Source organism: Homo sapiens, chromosome 3, assembly GCF_000001405.40.
Source record: "Homo sapiens chromosome 3, GRCh38.p14 Primary Assembly".
NCBI classification, from domain to species: domain Eukaryota; kingdom Metazoa; phylum Chordata; class Mammalia; order Primates; family Hominidae; genus Homo; species Homo sapiens.
In genome coordinates this window covers 42,670,284-42,685,038 of record NC_000003.12, presented here as the reverse complement: position 1 = coordinate 42,685,038, position 14,755 = coordinate 42,670,284, and the positions used below count along the sequence as shown (strand labels likewise).

The 14,755-nt window shown below is 43.6% G+C and overlaps 1 long non-coding RNA gene and 1 pseudogene across 2 annotated transcripts in view, besides 4 other annotated features; both read left to right on the top strand.

Moving 5' to 3' along the window:
- Window positions 728-1,022: an enhancer, noted in NCBI's record as "tiled region #14812; K562 Activating DNase unmatched - State 8:EnhW". NCBI's record gives its function as "activates a minimal TATA promoter and a strong SV40 promoter by Sharpr-MPRA in K562 cells {active_cell/tissue: K562}" and the evidence as "EXISTENCE:reporter gene assay evidence [ECO:0000049][PMID:27701403]".
- Window positions 728-1,344: a biological region, named in NCBI's record as "Sharpr-MPRA regulatory region 14812".
- Window positions 845-1,344: an enhancer, noted in NCBI's record as "H3K4me1 hESC enhancer chr3:42725187-42725686 (GRCh37/hg19 assembly coordinates)". NCBI's record gives its function as "activates a minimal SCP1, AML or CMV promoter by ChIP-STARR-seq in naive H9 embryonic stem cells {active_cell/tissue: H9 hESC(naive)}" and the evidence as "EXISTENCE:reporter gene assay evidence [ECO:0000049][PMID:30033119]".
- Window positions 1,238-14,755, top strand: part of LOC124906232 (uncharacterized) — a 17,685-nt gene continuing 4,167 nt past the window's right edge. Inside the window, exons 1-2 of one of the 2 annotated variants that reach the window (XR_007095893.1) lie at window positions 1,238-2,224; window positions 14,511-14,628. This is a non-coding gene — a long non-coding RNA (uncharacterized LOC124906232). Of the gene's footprint in view, window positions 2,225-3,604; window positions 4,328-14,510; window positions 14,629-14,755 lie in introns of those variants that run through there. The other variant, XR_007095892.1, reaches the window with a different exon arrangement.
- Window positions 1,345-1,846: an enhancer, noted in NCBI's record as "H3K4me1 hESC enhancer chr3:42724685-42725186 (GRCh37/hg19 assembly coordinates)". NCBI's record gives its function as "activates a minimal SCP1, AML or CMV promoter by ChIP-STARR-seq in naive H9 embryonic stem cells {active_cell/tissue: H9 hESC(naive)}" and the evidence as "EXISTENCE:reporter gene assay evidence [ECO:0000049][PMID:30033119]".
- Window positions 8,548-8,850, top strand: RN7SL567P (RNA, 7SL, cytoplasmic 567, pseudogene; annotated as a pseudogene).

Here is a 14,755-nt window from a genome sequence, read left to right as displayed (position 1 = left end):
AAGAGGCAGGGTCTCACTATGTTGTCCAGCCTGGACTTGAACTCCTGGGATCAAGCCATTCTTCTGCCTCAGCCTCCCTCGTAGCTGAGATTACAGACATAAGACACCACCCCCGTTGCCTCACCTTTAAAATGGGAAGAGCTTTTCCTCTTTCTGTCCCTCCTCCTTGCAAGAAAGCAAGAAGGTACCTTAGGTAAACAAGGTTGCCACTTTCCTATGAGGCCTGGGGCAGGGCATGTCGCTCTGTTAAGCCACAGTTTCCCTTCCTACACAATGAGGAGGTGGCAAAGTTAGATGCTAAGGACCTCAGTTCAACTCTGCTGGAAGTTTAGAAGCACCAAGGTACTGTGTCCTGGGAGTACACTATTAGTTTTAACACTTCTAAGGTGTCAGATGTGCTAGCAAATTAATTTCTTAGGATTCTACTATTCTAGGTTTTTAAACCCCCGGGGTTTTAACATTCTAGGGAGTGACATTCTGAATTCTAGTGTTCAAAAAGTAACACTACAAGTTTAATATTTCAGGACTTTAGCTATCTATACTCACTATTCTTGGTGCATATTAGGCCAGACCTGAGACTGCCTGGCCATGGGGCCCCTGCACCTTGTCTATGGTCTGAGGGACCAGGGTTGAAGCCCAGGACAGCCAGTCTTGATGCCTACCTTGTTCTAGACTACTGACACCCCTCCCCACACCCTCCCCACCCCGCCCCACCACCAGACACACACACACACACACACACACACACATCAGCCTCAGTCACCAAGATTAACTTGTTCCCAAAGTGCCAGAGGCTGCAGCTGTGTGTTAAATTTAGCCCCCAGGACATTGGAATGAACTATTATGAGACACACCCCCATCATTCCTCTGAGTCACTTGTTTATAACGTCAGGCGGGGGAGTGGGGGAGGGGGTGGGTATAGGAGAGATGACAGCAGGCTGGGCTAGGACTGAGTCACCTCCCTTTTGTGATCTCAGCAATATCACTCTCTGTCCCTTTTGTTTTTAGACGGAGTTTCGCTCTTGTTGCTCAGGCTGGAGTGCAATGGCGCAATCTCAGCTCACTGCAACCTCCGCCTCCAGGGTTCAAGCAATTCTCCTGCCTAAGCCTTCCTAGTAGCTAGGATTACAGGCGCTGACCACCACTCCCGGCTAATTTTTTTTTTTTTTTTTTTTTTTTGGATTTTTAGTAGAGACGAGGTTTCACCATGTTGGCCAGGCTGGTCTTAAACTTCCGACCTCAGGTGATCCGCCCGCCTCGGCCTCCCAAAGTGCTGGGATTACAGGCGTGAGCCACCGCGCCTGGCCTCTGTCCCTTTTAAATGGTGCATCTGATCATCACTTGCTCACCCCACCAGCAGGTCCCAGAGGGACACAGCACCTGAGCAAGCTCTGGAGGTGGTCCTGTCCCTCTTGCTGAAAAGGCAAGGGCTCACTCAGGGAGGGCAGGTGGTGAGCTTCCAGCCCAGCCCTGGACTGCAGGGCATTGCTAGCAAGCACAGCCAGTGAGGAGACGAGGCTTGAGAGGCTAGGCACCTTGGCCAAGTCACACAGCGGACATGGGCTGCGCCAGGATTTGAAGCAGATCTGCCCTCTTACAAAGACTGTGGGAACCCTTCCCTACCTTGCTGCCTCTCGTGAATTAACAAAAACGTTCATCAATCGTAGTCTCATTTTCAAAGACCAGGCCAGAAGATACTGACTGAACAATTTACTTAGATTTATCAAATGACTTAATGAAATATTTTTAGATTATGATGGATCCCATAGTGCTCACTGCCTACCAGGCATTCAAGTAGAACATGTGTATGTGGCTCATTCATTCATCAAGAACCTGTGCACTGCTTTAAATGCTGAAGAGTCAGCAGTGAGCAAATCAGGCAGGAATTCCGGTCTTCATGGAGCTTACATTCGTCAGGAGGTCGGGGCAAGGTTGGTAGGGGAGACAGAAATAAATAAATAGTTATACGGGGCATCAGATGATGGTTATGGCTGTGGAGACAAGTGAAACGGAAGGCGCATGGGAAGTGGGAGGAGGAGGTGGTAACGATTTTAAATGGAGTAGTCAGGATGGACTCACCGAGAGGATCACATTTGAGAGGGGTCAAACCGTGGAGGATTCCCAGTGGGGGAACAGCTGGAGCAAAGGTCCTGAGGCAAGAGAGTGCCTGGCACGTTCCCAAAACAGCACGGAGGCCAATAGGGCTGGAGCAGTGAACGAGGAGGTGAGTAGGAGGAGGTAAGGGGAGAGGTTAGGGTAGGGGATCATGCTGACCCCCGTGGGCCAGCATCAGGACTTGGGTTTTCCTCTGAGTTGAAACCGGGAAACACTGTGTTTTATTTTTTATTTTTATTTTTTTGAGGCAGGGTCTCGCTCTGTTGCCCAGCCTGGAGTGCAGTGGTGTGATCACAATTCACTGCAGCCTGGATCTCCTGGGCTCAAATGATCCTTCTACCTCAGTCTCCTGAGTGGCTGGGACTACAGGCACCTACCACCACACCCAGCTAATTTTTAAAATTTTTGTGGAGATGGAATCTCACTATTTTGCCCAGCCTGGTCTCAAACTCCGGGCCTTAAATGATCCTCCCACCTTGGCCTCCCAAAGTGTTGGGATTACAAGTGTGAGCCACCATGCCCAGCCTCACTGTTTATTTTTAAATTATTATTGTGGAAAATACAAATACATACAAAAGTAGAGAGGATCATATTCTGACCTCTCATGTACCCATCTCCCCACTTCAGTAACTGTCAAGTCTTCAAGTCACGGCCAACCCTGTTTCATCTCTATCTCCACCCACTCTAATCAACCCAGAGGTTGCATGTGGGTGTAGAAAAAGAGGGGAGAAAGGGTGACTCCAAGACTTTTAGTGGAATCCAAGGGAAGATGTCATCTCATTTCATCCTTTTAATTTTTACTCATTTAATCTTCACACCAAAATTATAAGGTAGGTATTATTTTTCCCATTTTACAGAAATTGAAATTTAGATGGCCAGCAAATAGGAAGCAGTCTAATATTTTGAAAATAACTTTAATGAGGCATAAGTGGCATGTGATAAACTGCACATATTTAAAGTGTACAATTGGATAAGTTTTGACATATGTATACACATCCGTGAAACCACCACCACCACAATCAAGACAGGGAGCACATCTGTCACCCACGAACTATTCCTCATCCCCTTTTAAAATCTCTCCTCCATCTCTTCCCACACACCCCAGCCCAATCACTGATCTGCTTTCTGTCACTATAATTCATTTGCATTTCCTAAAGTTTTATGTAAGAGGAATCATACAGTATGTACTTTTTTTGTCTGACATCGTTCACTTAGTATAATTATTTTAAGCTTCATCCAGGTTGTCTACTCATATTTTTAACTGATAGCTTCTGCCTTCATTAGGAATCTTAGTATATCACAGGGTCATTTAAGAGAAACACAAAATGGGGCCGGGCGCAGTGGCTCACGCCTGTAATCCTAACACTTTGGGAGGCCAGGGCAGTGGGTGGATCACCTGAGGTCAGGAGTTCGAGACCAGCCTGATCAATATGGTGAAACCCCGTGCCTACTAAAATACAAAAATTAGCTGGGTATGGTGGCGTGTGCCTATAGTCCCAGCTACTCGGGAGGCTGAGACAGGAGAATTGCTTGAACTCAGGATATTTGGGTGGCAGATATTTGTCACACTTGGTGGCCTTCCTGCATCTCCTAAATAGTCTTCCTATGTTTTGGACAGTTCCCACATAAGTAGTCCTTCTTCCCTGTGGTAGAAACCAGAATTTATTTTCCCAGCTTCCCCAGGAACACAGACATGCCACTGAGCTCAACCCATTGTATGCGCCCATCCCAAAACTTCAGTTTGGAACAGGAAGCAGGAACCTGCAGCATCCATATTTTGGCGAAGGGCTGATGGACAGCAGTGTTGGAACTTCTGGAGTCTACTTTCCACTGTCCACCATACAAGCTGAGGGATCTGTCCCTACTGGCTGTGGTTTGGCCATTGTCTGGGCTATGTATCCTGCAATCCTGACTCGAGCATTCCTGAAGTTTCTGTAATCTGTCTGATACCACACTAGCCAGTGAAGATTCTGTGATCTACTGCTAAGAGGGCTGTGTGATGTTGAAAATCATTTCAGGAGTATACCAGCAACAGGTGCTCAAGGGTGAGCTTGAGAAGTCGAGAGAATTTCTAATGGCCTGCTTGCTTCTTCACTGACTTCTGGGTTAAAGGTGGCCTATGATGCAAGAAGTTGAGATGCTGGAAATGCTCTTACATTACATAAAAGGATCCAAAAACAGGCAGCCCAGAATGTTGGAGTGGATTTATTAGGTATGTCATCCATCCCCACCTGTGTTTGCTGAGAGGGCTTAGAGGACACTTTTGCCCATCACTGAGGAACTTGTTGGTGAGAAATGCTGGCAACTTTGGCCTGTCAAGGGTGTGGGTGGGAGCCTTTGCCTATGAAGTGGCCTTCCTGCTTTCAGGGAGGATAATGGGATCTTAGGGTTGACAATGGCCAAGGAATGGCTCATAAGCACCAAAGGCAAAATGGGCATGGTTACTGTAATAAGCAGCAGGGCTGGAGTGGGTGGTAATCAGATGGTTTGACCTACAGAGATCCTTGGGAGTGACTAATGGATTGTGGGTTTCCTAAGAATTGAAATTGGTCATTCTACTAAAGTTTTACTGATATGTATTCTGAATCTGGATTTGCCTTCTCTGCCTGCCACATTTCTGCTAATCCCTCTATCCATAGACTTCACGCCTTACTCATTTTCATGGAACCAAATTCAAGCCTGCTTCTGATCGAAGATCTCATTTTGTAGCAGGAGAAGTGAGGCAAGCCTTCCAGTTAATGGTGGCAGATAAAATACACATTTTAATTTTGCTTCCTTTTGAAAGCTCACTACAATTAAAGTAGATGGTAAAGAGAAAAAAATATATAGCATAAACTCTCAGGAACATAGTATACAACATACTCTACAGGGACATAACAATACCACCACGGATTCTGGAAAGCAGGTGATGTGTGATGAGCAGCGTAGCAGTCCTGACTCTAAGTCAGCAGTGGGAAGCCCAGATGCAACTCTTCTATACCTCAGAATCCACAGAGAAGGTCCAGAATTGGCAACACCAGGTACCTTTAAACATACAGGAGAATCAACCACCACCTGGTAGAAGCCAGGTGTTTCATTTCCAAAGAAGGTAAACCAGAGGGCTCTTGACTAAGACACTCAGCAGAGGTGAAGGCAGTGGTGCAGTGTGAACACTGGGTAATTAAAAGAAACTCCATGTTCTAAATGGAAAACCCTATTCCCACTCAGCTCCCAGAAAGCTGGCAGGTCAGCTATGACCTCCAAATAGAGAATTGAAATTGAGGGATCTGACAGCCCAAGAGGAAACAAAAAGATATCAGTAAGCCTGGTCAAATCATCCTACAGTGAAGCCCTCTAATTAACAAGGCCCTTCACACATGCTGAGTTTCCAATGAGCTCTTTGGCGATTGATATGGTTTGGCCATGTCCCCACCCAAATTTCATCTTGAATTGTGGCTCCCACGATTCCCACGTGTCGTGGGAGGGAATTGAATCATGGGGGCGGGTCTTTCCCTTGCTGTTCTCATAATGAATAAGTCTCACAAGAGCTGATGGTTTTATAAAGAGGAGTTGCCCTGCACAAGTTCTCTCTCTGCCTGCTGCCATCCATGTAAGACAGGACTTGGCTCCTCCTTGCCTTCTGCCATGATTGTGAGCCCTCCCCAACCATGTGGAACTGTGAGTCAATTAAACCTCTTTCCTTTCTAAATTACCCAGTCTCAGGTATGTTTTTGTCAGCAGTGTGAAAACGGACTAATACAGTGATCTACTTTTTTAAATGTTTGAAAAGACGACTTCTGGCCTGGACAAAATGGTGTAAACTTGTTTCCCCCTGCTCCTTCCTGTCAAGTACAACTATGAACTGTGAAAACAATGCAAGAGGCAATCAGAAGATAACACTGAAAGCTGGCAAGGGAATTATGCATTAGTTTGGGACCCTAAGAATAAAGGAACAACTCAGTGGCAGGATATCTTATGTGCCCCCACTCAGTGGAAGAAGATGACCCAGGCCTGGTGTTTCCAGACACCCAGCCTATCAACAGAAGGCAGCCAAAACAGGCTCAGCCCTCTTACAATTTGAAGAGGAGTCCCTCTGACAACTCCACATGAGCCCAGCACCACCAGAGGGGAGATTACTCAGGTGCCCCACTAACAATTAGCAACCAGGGGAAGCACTCTCCTTTCACACTGGGCCCGAAACTCACCTCCCCTGCCAAGAGAGCTGGGCAGCCTGACCTGGGAACACCCCTTCTGCCCTCTCAGGCAGCACCAGCAGGAACCAGCAGGAGCTCCAGCAGCACCAAAGAAACCAAGCATATGAAAAGAACACCACAAAGCATCTGAAAATTAAATTGTCATTGGAACCTCAGCCCACTGGAACCTCAGTCCTCAGACCGAGATATGCATGATAAATGTAAACAAGGTGACTGATGTTGCAACCAATGAACTAAGTAGGACCCAGAGTCTCCTAACATGATGGCCAAAATATCTAAGACACAACTGAAACTCACCTGTCATACCAAGAATGAGGAATATCACAACCTGAATGTGAAAAGAATCAACTGGCACCAACACTGAGATTAACCAGTTGTTAGGATTATCTGGCAAGGATTTTAAAGTGGCCATCATAATAATGCTTCAACAATTGATTCAAATTTTATTGGAATGAATAAAAAAATTTAAAATCTCACCAAAAAAGAAGTTATATAGAAGAACCAAATGGAAATTATAGAACTGAAAAATACAACCACAGAAATAAAAGCCTACTAGATGGCCTCAATAGGGGAGAGATGACAGAAGATAAAATCAGTGCTTGATTGAGGACAGATCAATAGAATTTACCCAGTCTAAACAACAAAGACATAATATTGTGGGAAGAAATGATATATATATATGTGTGTGTGTGTATGTGTGTGTGTGTGTGTGTATACATATATATATACACATAGAGAGAGAGAGTCAGTCTCAGGGGCCCATAGGACAATAACAAAAAAATCAGTGTTTGTATCACTGCATATCATTGCAGTCTCAGAAGGAGAGGAGAAAGAATGAGGCTGAGAGAATAACTAAAGTAATAATGCCTGAAGACTTCCAAAATTTGGTTAAGACACAAACCAGCACATCCAAGAAGCTGAGAAAACCCCAAACAGAATAAACCCAAATAAATCCATGCCAAGACACATCATAATTAAACTTTTGAAAACTAAAGACAAAGAAAAAAATATCAAAAGCAGACAGAGAGAAACAATACATCACCTGTAGTTAAACACCAATTCAAATGACAGTGGATTTATCATCCAAAACTATGGAGGCCATTTGGGAGGCCTACGCGAGCAGATCACTTGAGATCAGGAGTTCAAGACCAGCCTGGCCGACATGGTGAAAACCCATCTCTACTAAAAATACAAAAATTAGCTGGGTGTGGTGGCACACGCTGGTAGTCCCAGCTACTCGGGAGACCAAGGCAGGAGAATTGTTTAACTCAGGAAGCAGAGGTTGCAGTGAGCTAAGATCATGCCACTGCACTCCAGCCTGGACTCTAACACTCGCTGGACACAGTGAGACTCCATCTCTAAAAAAAAGCAAAACTATGGAGGCCAGAAGGAAGTGGTACAACATATTTCAAGTGCTGGGGGAGCTATCAGCTGTGAATTTTATATCCAATGAAAGTATCTTTCAGGAATGAAGGGGAAGTAATCCCAGAAAATCCCCATAAAATGCTTACAGGAACTAATCAATGAGTTCAGCAAAGTTGGAGGATATAAGATTAACACACAAACATTAATTGCATTTCTATTTACTAACAATGAACATGAAGAAAATGAAATTTAAAACTTAATACCATGTACAGTCACTCAAAAGAAAATGAAATATTTAGGCAAAACACATAGAGGATATGTATGCCAAAAACTACAAAATGCTGATTAAAGAAATAATGGAAGAGCTAAACAAATGGAGAGACAGAGTGTGTTCATGTGTTGGGAGACAACATAGTAAAGATGTCAATTCTCCTCAAACTGAATTATAAGTTTCATTCAATGCCTATCAAAATTCCAGCAAAGTTTTTAATAGATTTAGACAAGCATATTCTAAAATTTATATGGAAAGTTAAAGACCCTCGAATAGTTAGAATAATCTTGACAAAGAAGAATAAAGTGGGAGGAATCACTCTACCTGATATAGCTACAGTAGGCAAGATCATATGGTATTGGCAAAGGGATAAACATATAGATCAATAGACCCGAACAGAGGACCCAGAAATAGATCCAAATAGGCTCAACCGATTTTTGACAAAGATGCAAAAGCAATTCAAAACTTTTCAACAAATAGTGCTGGAGCAATTAGACATCCATAGCGGAAATAATAACCTCAACCTAAATCTCACAACTTACACAAAAATTAACTTGAAATGGATCGTGGACTTAAGATGTAAAACATCTAAAATGACTTTGAGCCAGGTGTGGTGGCTCGTGCCTATAGTCCCAGCTCCTCGGGAGGGTGAGACAGGAGGAGGATTGCTTGAGCCCAGGAGTTCTGGGCTGTAGTGCACAGTGCTGATTGGGTGTCCACAGTAAGTTCAGCATCAATATGGTGACCCCCTGGAAGTGGGAGACCACCAAGTTGCCTAAGGAGAAGTGAACTAACACAGGTTGCAGATGGAGCAGGCCAAAACTCCCATGCTGATCAGTAGTGGGATTGCACCTGTAAATAACCACTATACTCCAGCCTGGGCAACACAGCAAGACTATTGTCTCAAAAAAAAAAACTTGAAAAAGAAGAAAGTTAATGGTCTCCCACGTCCTGATTTCAAAACTTACTACAAAGCGACAATAATCAAAACAGTGTGGCACTGGCATAAAGGCAGATAATAGATGGTGATAGTTAATTTTAGGTGTCAGTTTGACTGGACTAAGGGATGTCCAGATACCTGATATAACATTATTTCCAGTGTGTCTATGAGGGTGTCTCTGGAATAGATGAGCATTTCAATCAGTTGTGCATTGTTGATGGGAATGTAAAACAGTATAGGTGCTGTGGAAAACAGTATGGCAGTTCCTTAAAAAATTAAAAATCGGCCAGGCACAGTGGCTCATGCCTGTAATCCCAGCACTTTGGGAGGCCAAGGCAGCTGGATCACGAGGTCAGGAGATCGAAACCATCCTGGCTAACATGGTGAAATCCCATCTCTACTAAAAACACAAAAAACTAGCCAGGCATGGTGGCGGGCACCTGTAATTCCAGCTACGGGAGACTGAGGCAGGAGAATGGCATGAACCCGGGAGGCGGAGCCTGCAGTGAGCCGAGATCACGCCACTGCACTCCAGCCTGGGCGACAGAGCGAGACTCTGTCTCAAAAAAAAAAAAAAATTAAAAATCAAATTACCATGTGATCTAGCAATTCCACATTTGAGTATATACCCAAAAGAACTGAAAGCAGGGCCTTGAAGAGATATTTATATACCCATGTTCATAGCAGCATTATTTGCAATGCCCAAAAGGTGGAAGCAACCCAAGTGTCCACTGATGAATTAATTAATAAGCTAAATGTGGTATATATATTATTCAGCCTTAAAGAGGACGGAAATTCTGACACACGCTACAACATGGATGAAGTGTGAAGACATTATGCTAAATGAAATAAACCAGTCAAAAAAGACAAATATTGTATTATTCCGCTTATGTGTTAAATGCATAGAGATAGAAAGTAGAATGGTGGTTGCTAAGGGCTGTGGGCAAGAGGGAGGAGGGAGCTACTGTTCAATATGTACAGAGTTTCAGTTTGGAACGATCAGAAGAGCTCTGTGGATGGATGGTGGTGATGGCTGCACAACAGTGAGAATGTACTTAATCCCATTGAACTGTACACTTAAAAATGGTTAAGAAAGTAAATTTTATGTTATATGTATTTTACCATAATTTTTTAAAAAAGAACACAGAGACCCTTGGCAATCCCTGTACTGGACATGACTCAGAGAATAAGTAACTGAGCATCTTCTAAACAATATTTAAAACCAAAGTATAAAACTTCTAGGAAAAAAACACAGGAGAATATTTCAGCATTTAGGGCTATGGAATAAGTTTTTACACTTAACACCAAAAGCATGACATATAAAAGGAAAATGTGATCATCTAGATCTTACCAAAATAAAAATCTTTTGCTCAGCAAAAGATCATGTGAAGAGAATAAAAAGACAAGCTACAGATTGAGAAAAATATTTGCAATATCTAGACATACAAAGATCTCCCAAATTCTAAAACATACAAACAATCCAATGAGAAAATAGGCAAAAGGCATGAACCAATATTCCACCAAAAGGGATATACAGATGGGAAATAATTTAATGAAAGGATGTTCAGTATCATTAGTCATCAGGGAAATACAAATTAAAACCAAAATGAGATATCACTACATACCTCTCAGAGTTGCTAAGATTTAAAAAATAATGACAACACCAAAATACTTGTGAGAATACGAAGAAATCAGATCACTCACATTGCTACTGGGAAGGTAAAATAGTACAGCCACGGTAGAAGACACTTTGGCAGCTTCTTAAAAGACTAAATATGCAACTATACCATATGACCTAGCAATTGCCCTCCTTGGCATGTATCCCAGAAAAATGAAAACTTCTGTTCACATAAAACCCATACATGTATATAACTGCTCATAGCAGTTATATTTGTAATACTAAGAAAGTAGAAACATCCCTTCTCACCTTTCATGGGCGAATGGTTAAAAAAAAGAGTACATACCAGCCATGGAATACTACTCAGCAATTAAAAAAAAAAGAATGAACTCTTGGTACACACAATGACTTGGATCAATCTTCAGGGAATTAGACTGAGTGAAAAATGTCAGCCCCAAAAAGTTACATACTATATGATTCCATTAATAAAACATTTTTGTCATGACAAAAATTTTAATGGAGAATGGATTGGTGGTTGTCAGTGGCTAGGGATGGAATGGGTGGTGGCAGAAGGGATTGTGGTGTGTAGTTAGTTATAAGATGGTAACAGGTATCTTTGTGGGGTGGAATTGTTCTGTGTCTTGATTATGGTTGTGAATATATGAACCTGCACCTGTGATAATATTGTATTGAACTACATACACGCACACACATACACACACACACACACACACACACACACACACACAAATGAATACAAGTAAAATTTGGGGAAAGATAAGTGGATTGTGTCAATGGCAATGTCCTGGTTGTGATCTGCACTAGAATTTTGCAAGTTGTTACTGCTATGGTTTGAATGTGTCCCCTCCAAAATTCAGATGTTGCCTGTGTGATAGTATTAGGAGGTAGGGCCTGTAAGAGCTGACTAGGTCATGGGGGATTCTCCCCTTATGAGTAGGGATGAAGGCCCTTACAAAAGAGGCTTTACACAGTGTTCAGCTCTCTTGCCCTTTGGCCTTCTGCCATGTGAGGGCAAAGGAAGAAGATCCTCACCAGATCCCACAGCTCCACTGGCCAGTGCCCTAGTGGGGGCTCTCTGTGGTGGCTCTGAGGCTCTTTGGGGCATCCTTTGAAATCCAGGTGGAGGAAACCATGCCTCCAGAGCCTGTGTACTGTGCTTCCTGGTGGAGATGGCACCTCACAGATGCTACCAAGGTTTACCACCTGTGACCTCTGGAGAGACAGCCACTATGGCATACATCACACCTGGGCCCACTGGAGCTTCATCTTGGACAGCTGAGGAGTGCTATACCAGCCTCAGGGAGCAGAGGTCTGGGTTGGCACAGGGCAGTGAGGGATGAGGTCCCTTAGGCACCCAAGGCCCCTCTTCTGACACAGTTCTGCCCTCCAGGCCTTGGCACTCTAGGCCTGTTATAAGAAGAAAGGCAGCCCTGATGATCTCCAAAATGCCTTCAGGGTCATTCCTCCATTGTCCCCTTGACAAATAGGCTTCCACTAATCCATGTTACTCTCCTTATCAAACTGTTGCTTGGGCACACCCTTGGTGTTCTTTCTCAGACCCACTGTTTCATTCTTTACAACATGGCCAGGCTGATAATTTTCTAAATCTAAGTTCTGCTTCACTTTTGATTATAAAATCTATCTTTAATTCATTTCTCTCTTCTTGTATTTTGCTGTAAGCAGTCAAGAGAAGCCATGCCACATGCTCAACACTTTGTTTAGAGATTTCTTCTGCTAAATATCTTATGTCATCACTCATAAGTTCCTCCTTCCACAAAACACTAGGAAACAAACACGATTCAGCCAAGTTCTTTGCCACTTTATGACAAGGATAGCCTTTCCTCCAGTTTCTAATAACATGTTCCTCATTTCCATCTGAGACCTCATCAGAATGGCCTTTACCATACACATGTCTGTGAACATTCTGATTATGACTACTTAGGTAATCTCTGAGAAAACTGAGGCTTTCTTTACAGTTCTCTTCTGAGCCCTCACCAGAATAGCCTTCATGGTCCATTCATGACAATATAGGGTTTTTTCCTAACCTGTTCCTCCAAACTCAACTCTTCCCAGCTCCAAAGCTGCTTTCACATTTTAAACTATTCGTTATAGCAACATCCCCACTAAGTACCAATTTCTGTCTTAGTCTGCTCAGGCTGCTATAACAAAATACCTTTAACTGGGTAGTTTATAAACAATAGAAATTTATTGTTCACAGTTCTGAAAGCTGAGAGTCCAAGATCAAGGCACCAGGAGATTCAGTATCTGGTGAGAGTTTTGTCTTCTTCATAGATGGCACCTTCTATTGTCCGCATATGGCAGAAGGAGCCAATTCAGTGTCTTTGCAAGGTGAAAGGACAGGTAGCTCCCTTCAACCTCTTCTATAAGGGCCAGTAATCCCACTCATGAGGCAGAGCTTCCTGACTTAATCACTCCCCCAAAAACCTCACCTCTTTATACTGTGGCATCGTGTTTTAGGTTCCAACAGGTGAATTTGGGGTTTGGTGGGGGGACACCAGCATTCAGACAATAGCACCATCTTGACCTCATGACCTGTGGCTAAGTAGGATGGAACATCTTCCTGTTTTGTCTTCCTTGATGTGTATATTAATAAGTCAGGGCTCTGCAGAGAAACAGAATCAATAGAATAAAGAGATATAAGAGGGGGTGTATTATGGGCATTGGCTCATGTGATTATGGAGGCCGAAAAGTTCCACAATCTGTCCTCTGCAGGTTGGAGACCCAGGAAAGCTGGTGATGTAATTCAGTTTGAATCTGAAGGCCTGAGATCAAGAGGAGGTGATGATGTAACTCCCAGTCCAAGGCGAAACGCAGGGGAACCTGGAGTTCTGATGTCTGAGGGCAGGAGATGATGGATGTCCTGGCTCCAGAAGAGAGAGTGAATTCACTTTTCTTCTGCCTTTTTGTTCCATCCAGGCCCTCAATAGACTGGATGGTGTCCACTTATATTGGATGAGGGGGGATCATCTTTACTCAGTCTACTGATTCAAATGGTGATCTCTTCCCAAAACACCCTCACAGACACACCCAAAAATCATGCCCTTACCAGCTATCTCGGTGTCCCTTCATTCAGTTAAGAGTACACCTAAAACTAACCATCACACTGGAAAAGATGTATGTATATATATTAATTTTTTCCCCTCATAGTCTCCTTCTGTTTTATAAAGAGCCTGGTTGCTGATGGTTCCATTTAACAATACAGTCCCCACATTTCAGAACACCAAATGGGATCACAGGAAAGGAGCGGCAATTACCAGCAGATCCTGGATTTGGAGCCAGATGCAGTCAGTGATGAGAAATTACAGTGTCCCCTTTTGGGAAGAGGATGAATACGTTTTTATTTATTATGAGGAAGGTTGTTAATCAATAGCATTTTGTTGTTCCTGTTGTATGGAAGAGGGTGTATGCTGTTGTTGGGCTGTGAAGGGCTAGATTGTGGGGCATGTTTGTTATACTTTGTGGCCACCCAGCATGTTTGCAAAGCCTTTTTCTGATTGGGAATGAAGTACATAGGGCATTCCACCTACCCAACATAGAAAACACAACTTGCTTCCCCAGCCTCCCTTGCAGCTAGTGAAGTAGGAGGTTGGACTCAACTCTGGAGGCGGGGCTTGGACACCAGACCTAATGAGGACTAGCTGAAACAGGGATGGAGTGGAAGCAGCAGCTTTGCATAAGACATGCCCACAAGTGTGCCATGTCAGTTTACCATTGCCATGGCAACACCTGAAAGTTACTGCCCCTTTCTATGGAAGATACCAACCTTTTCCTAGAAATTTCTGCATAATCCCCCCTTAATTTGCATGTAAGTCAAAGTGGGTATAAGTATGACTGCAGTCCTGCCTCGGAGCTGCTATTCTGGGAACACTGCCTATAGGGTAGCGCTGTTCCACAGTACCAGTACCTCTGCTGCTGCTTCACTAAAAGTCGCTAACACCTCCGGCTCACCCTTGAATTCTTTCCTAGGTGAAGCCAAGAACTCTCCCAGGCTAAGCCCCAATTTTGAGACTCGCCTGTCCTGCATCACTAGGGCATAAACGTGACAGATCTGACACTTAGACACACCCACATAAGACTGATTCAGGTAAGAGGAAAGCAATGAAATATACTGCAGACTTGTGTTCTCTGAGGGTGGGGCAGAGAGGGGTTTAGTTTTGGTGGGAGGGGCAGTCGAGACAGAGCTTCTTATGAGTAGCCTTCAGCATTGTTAG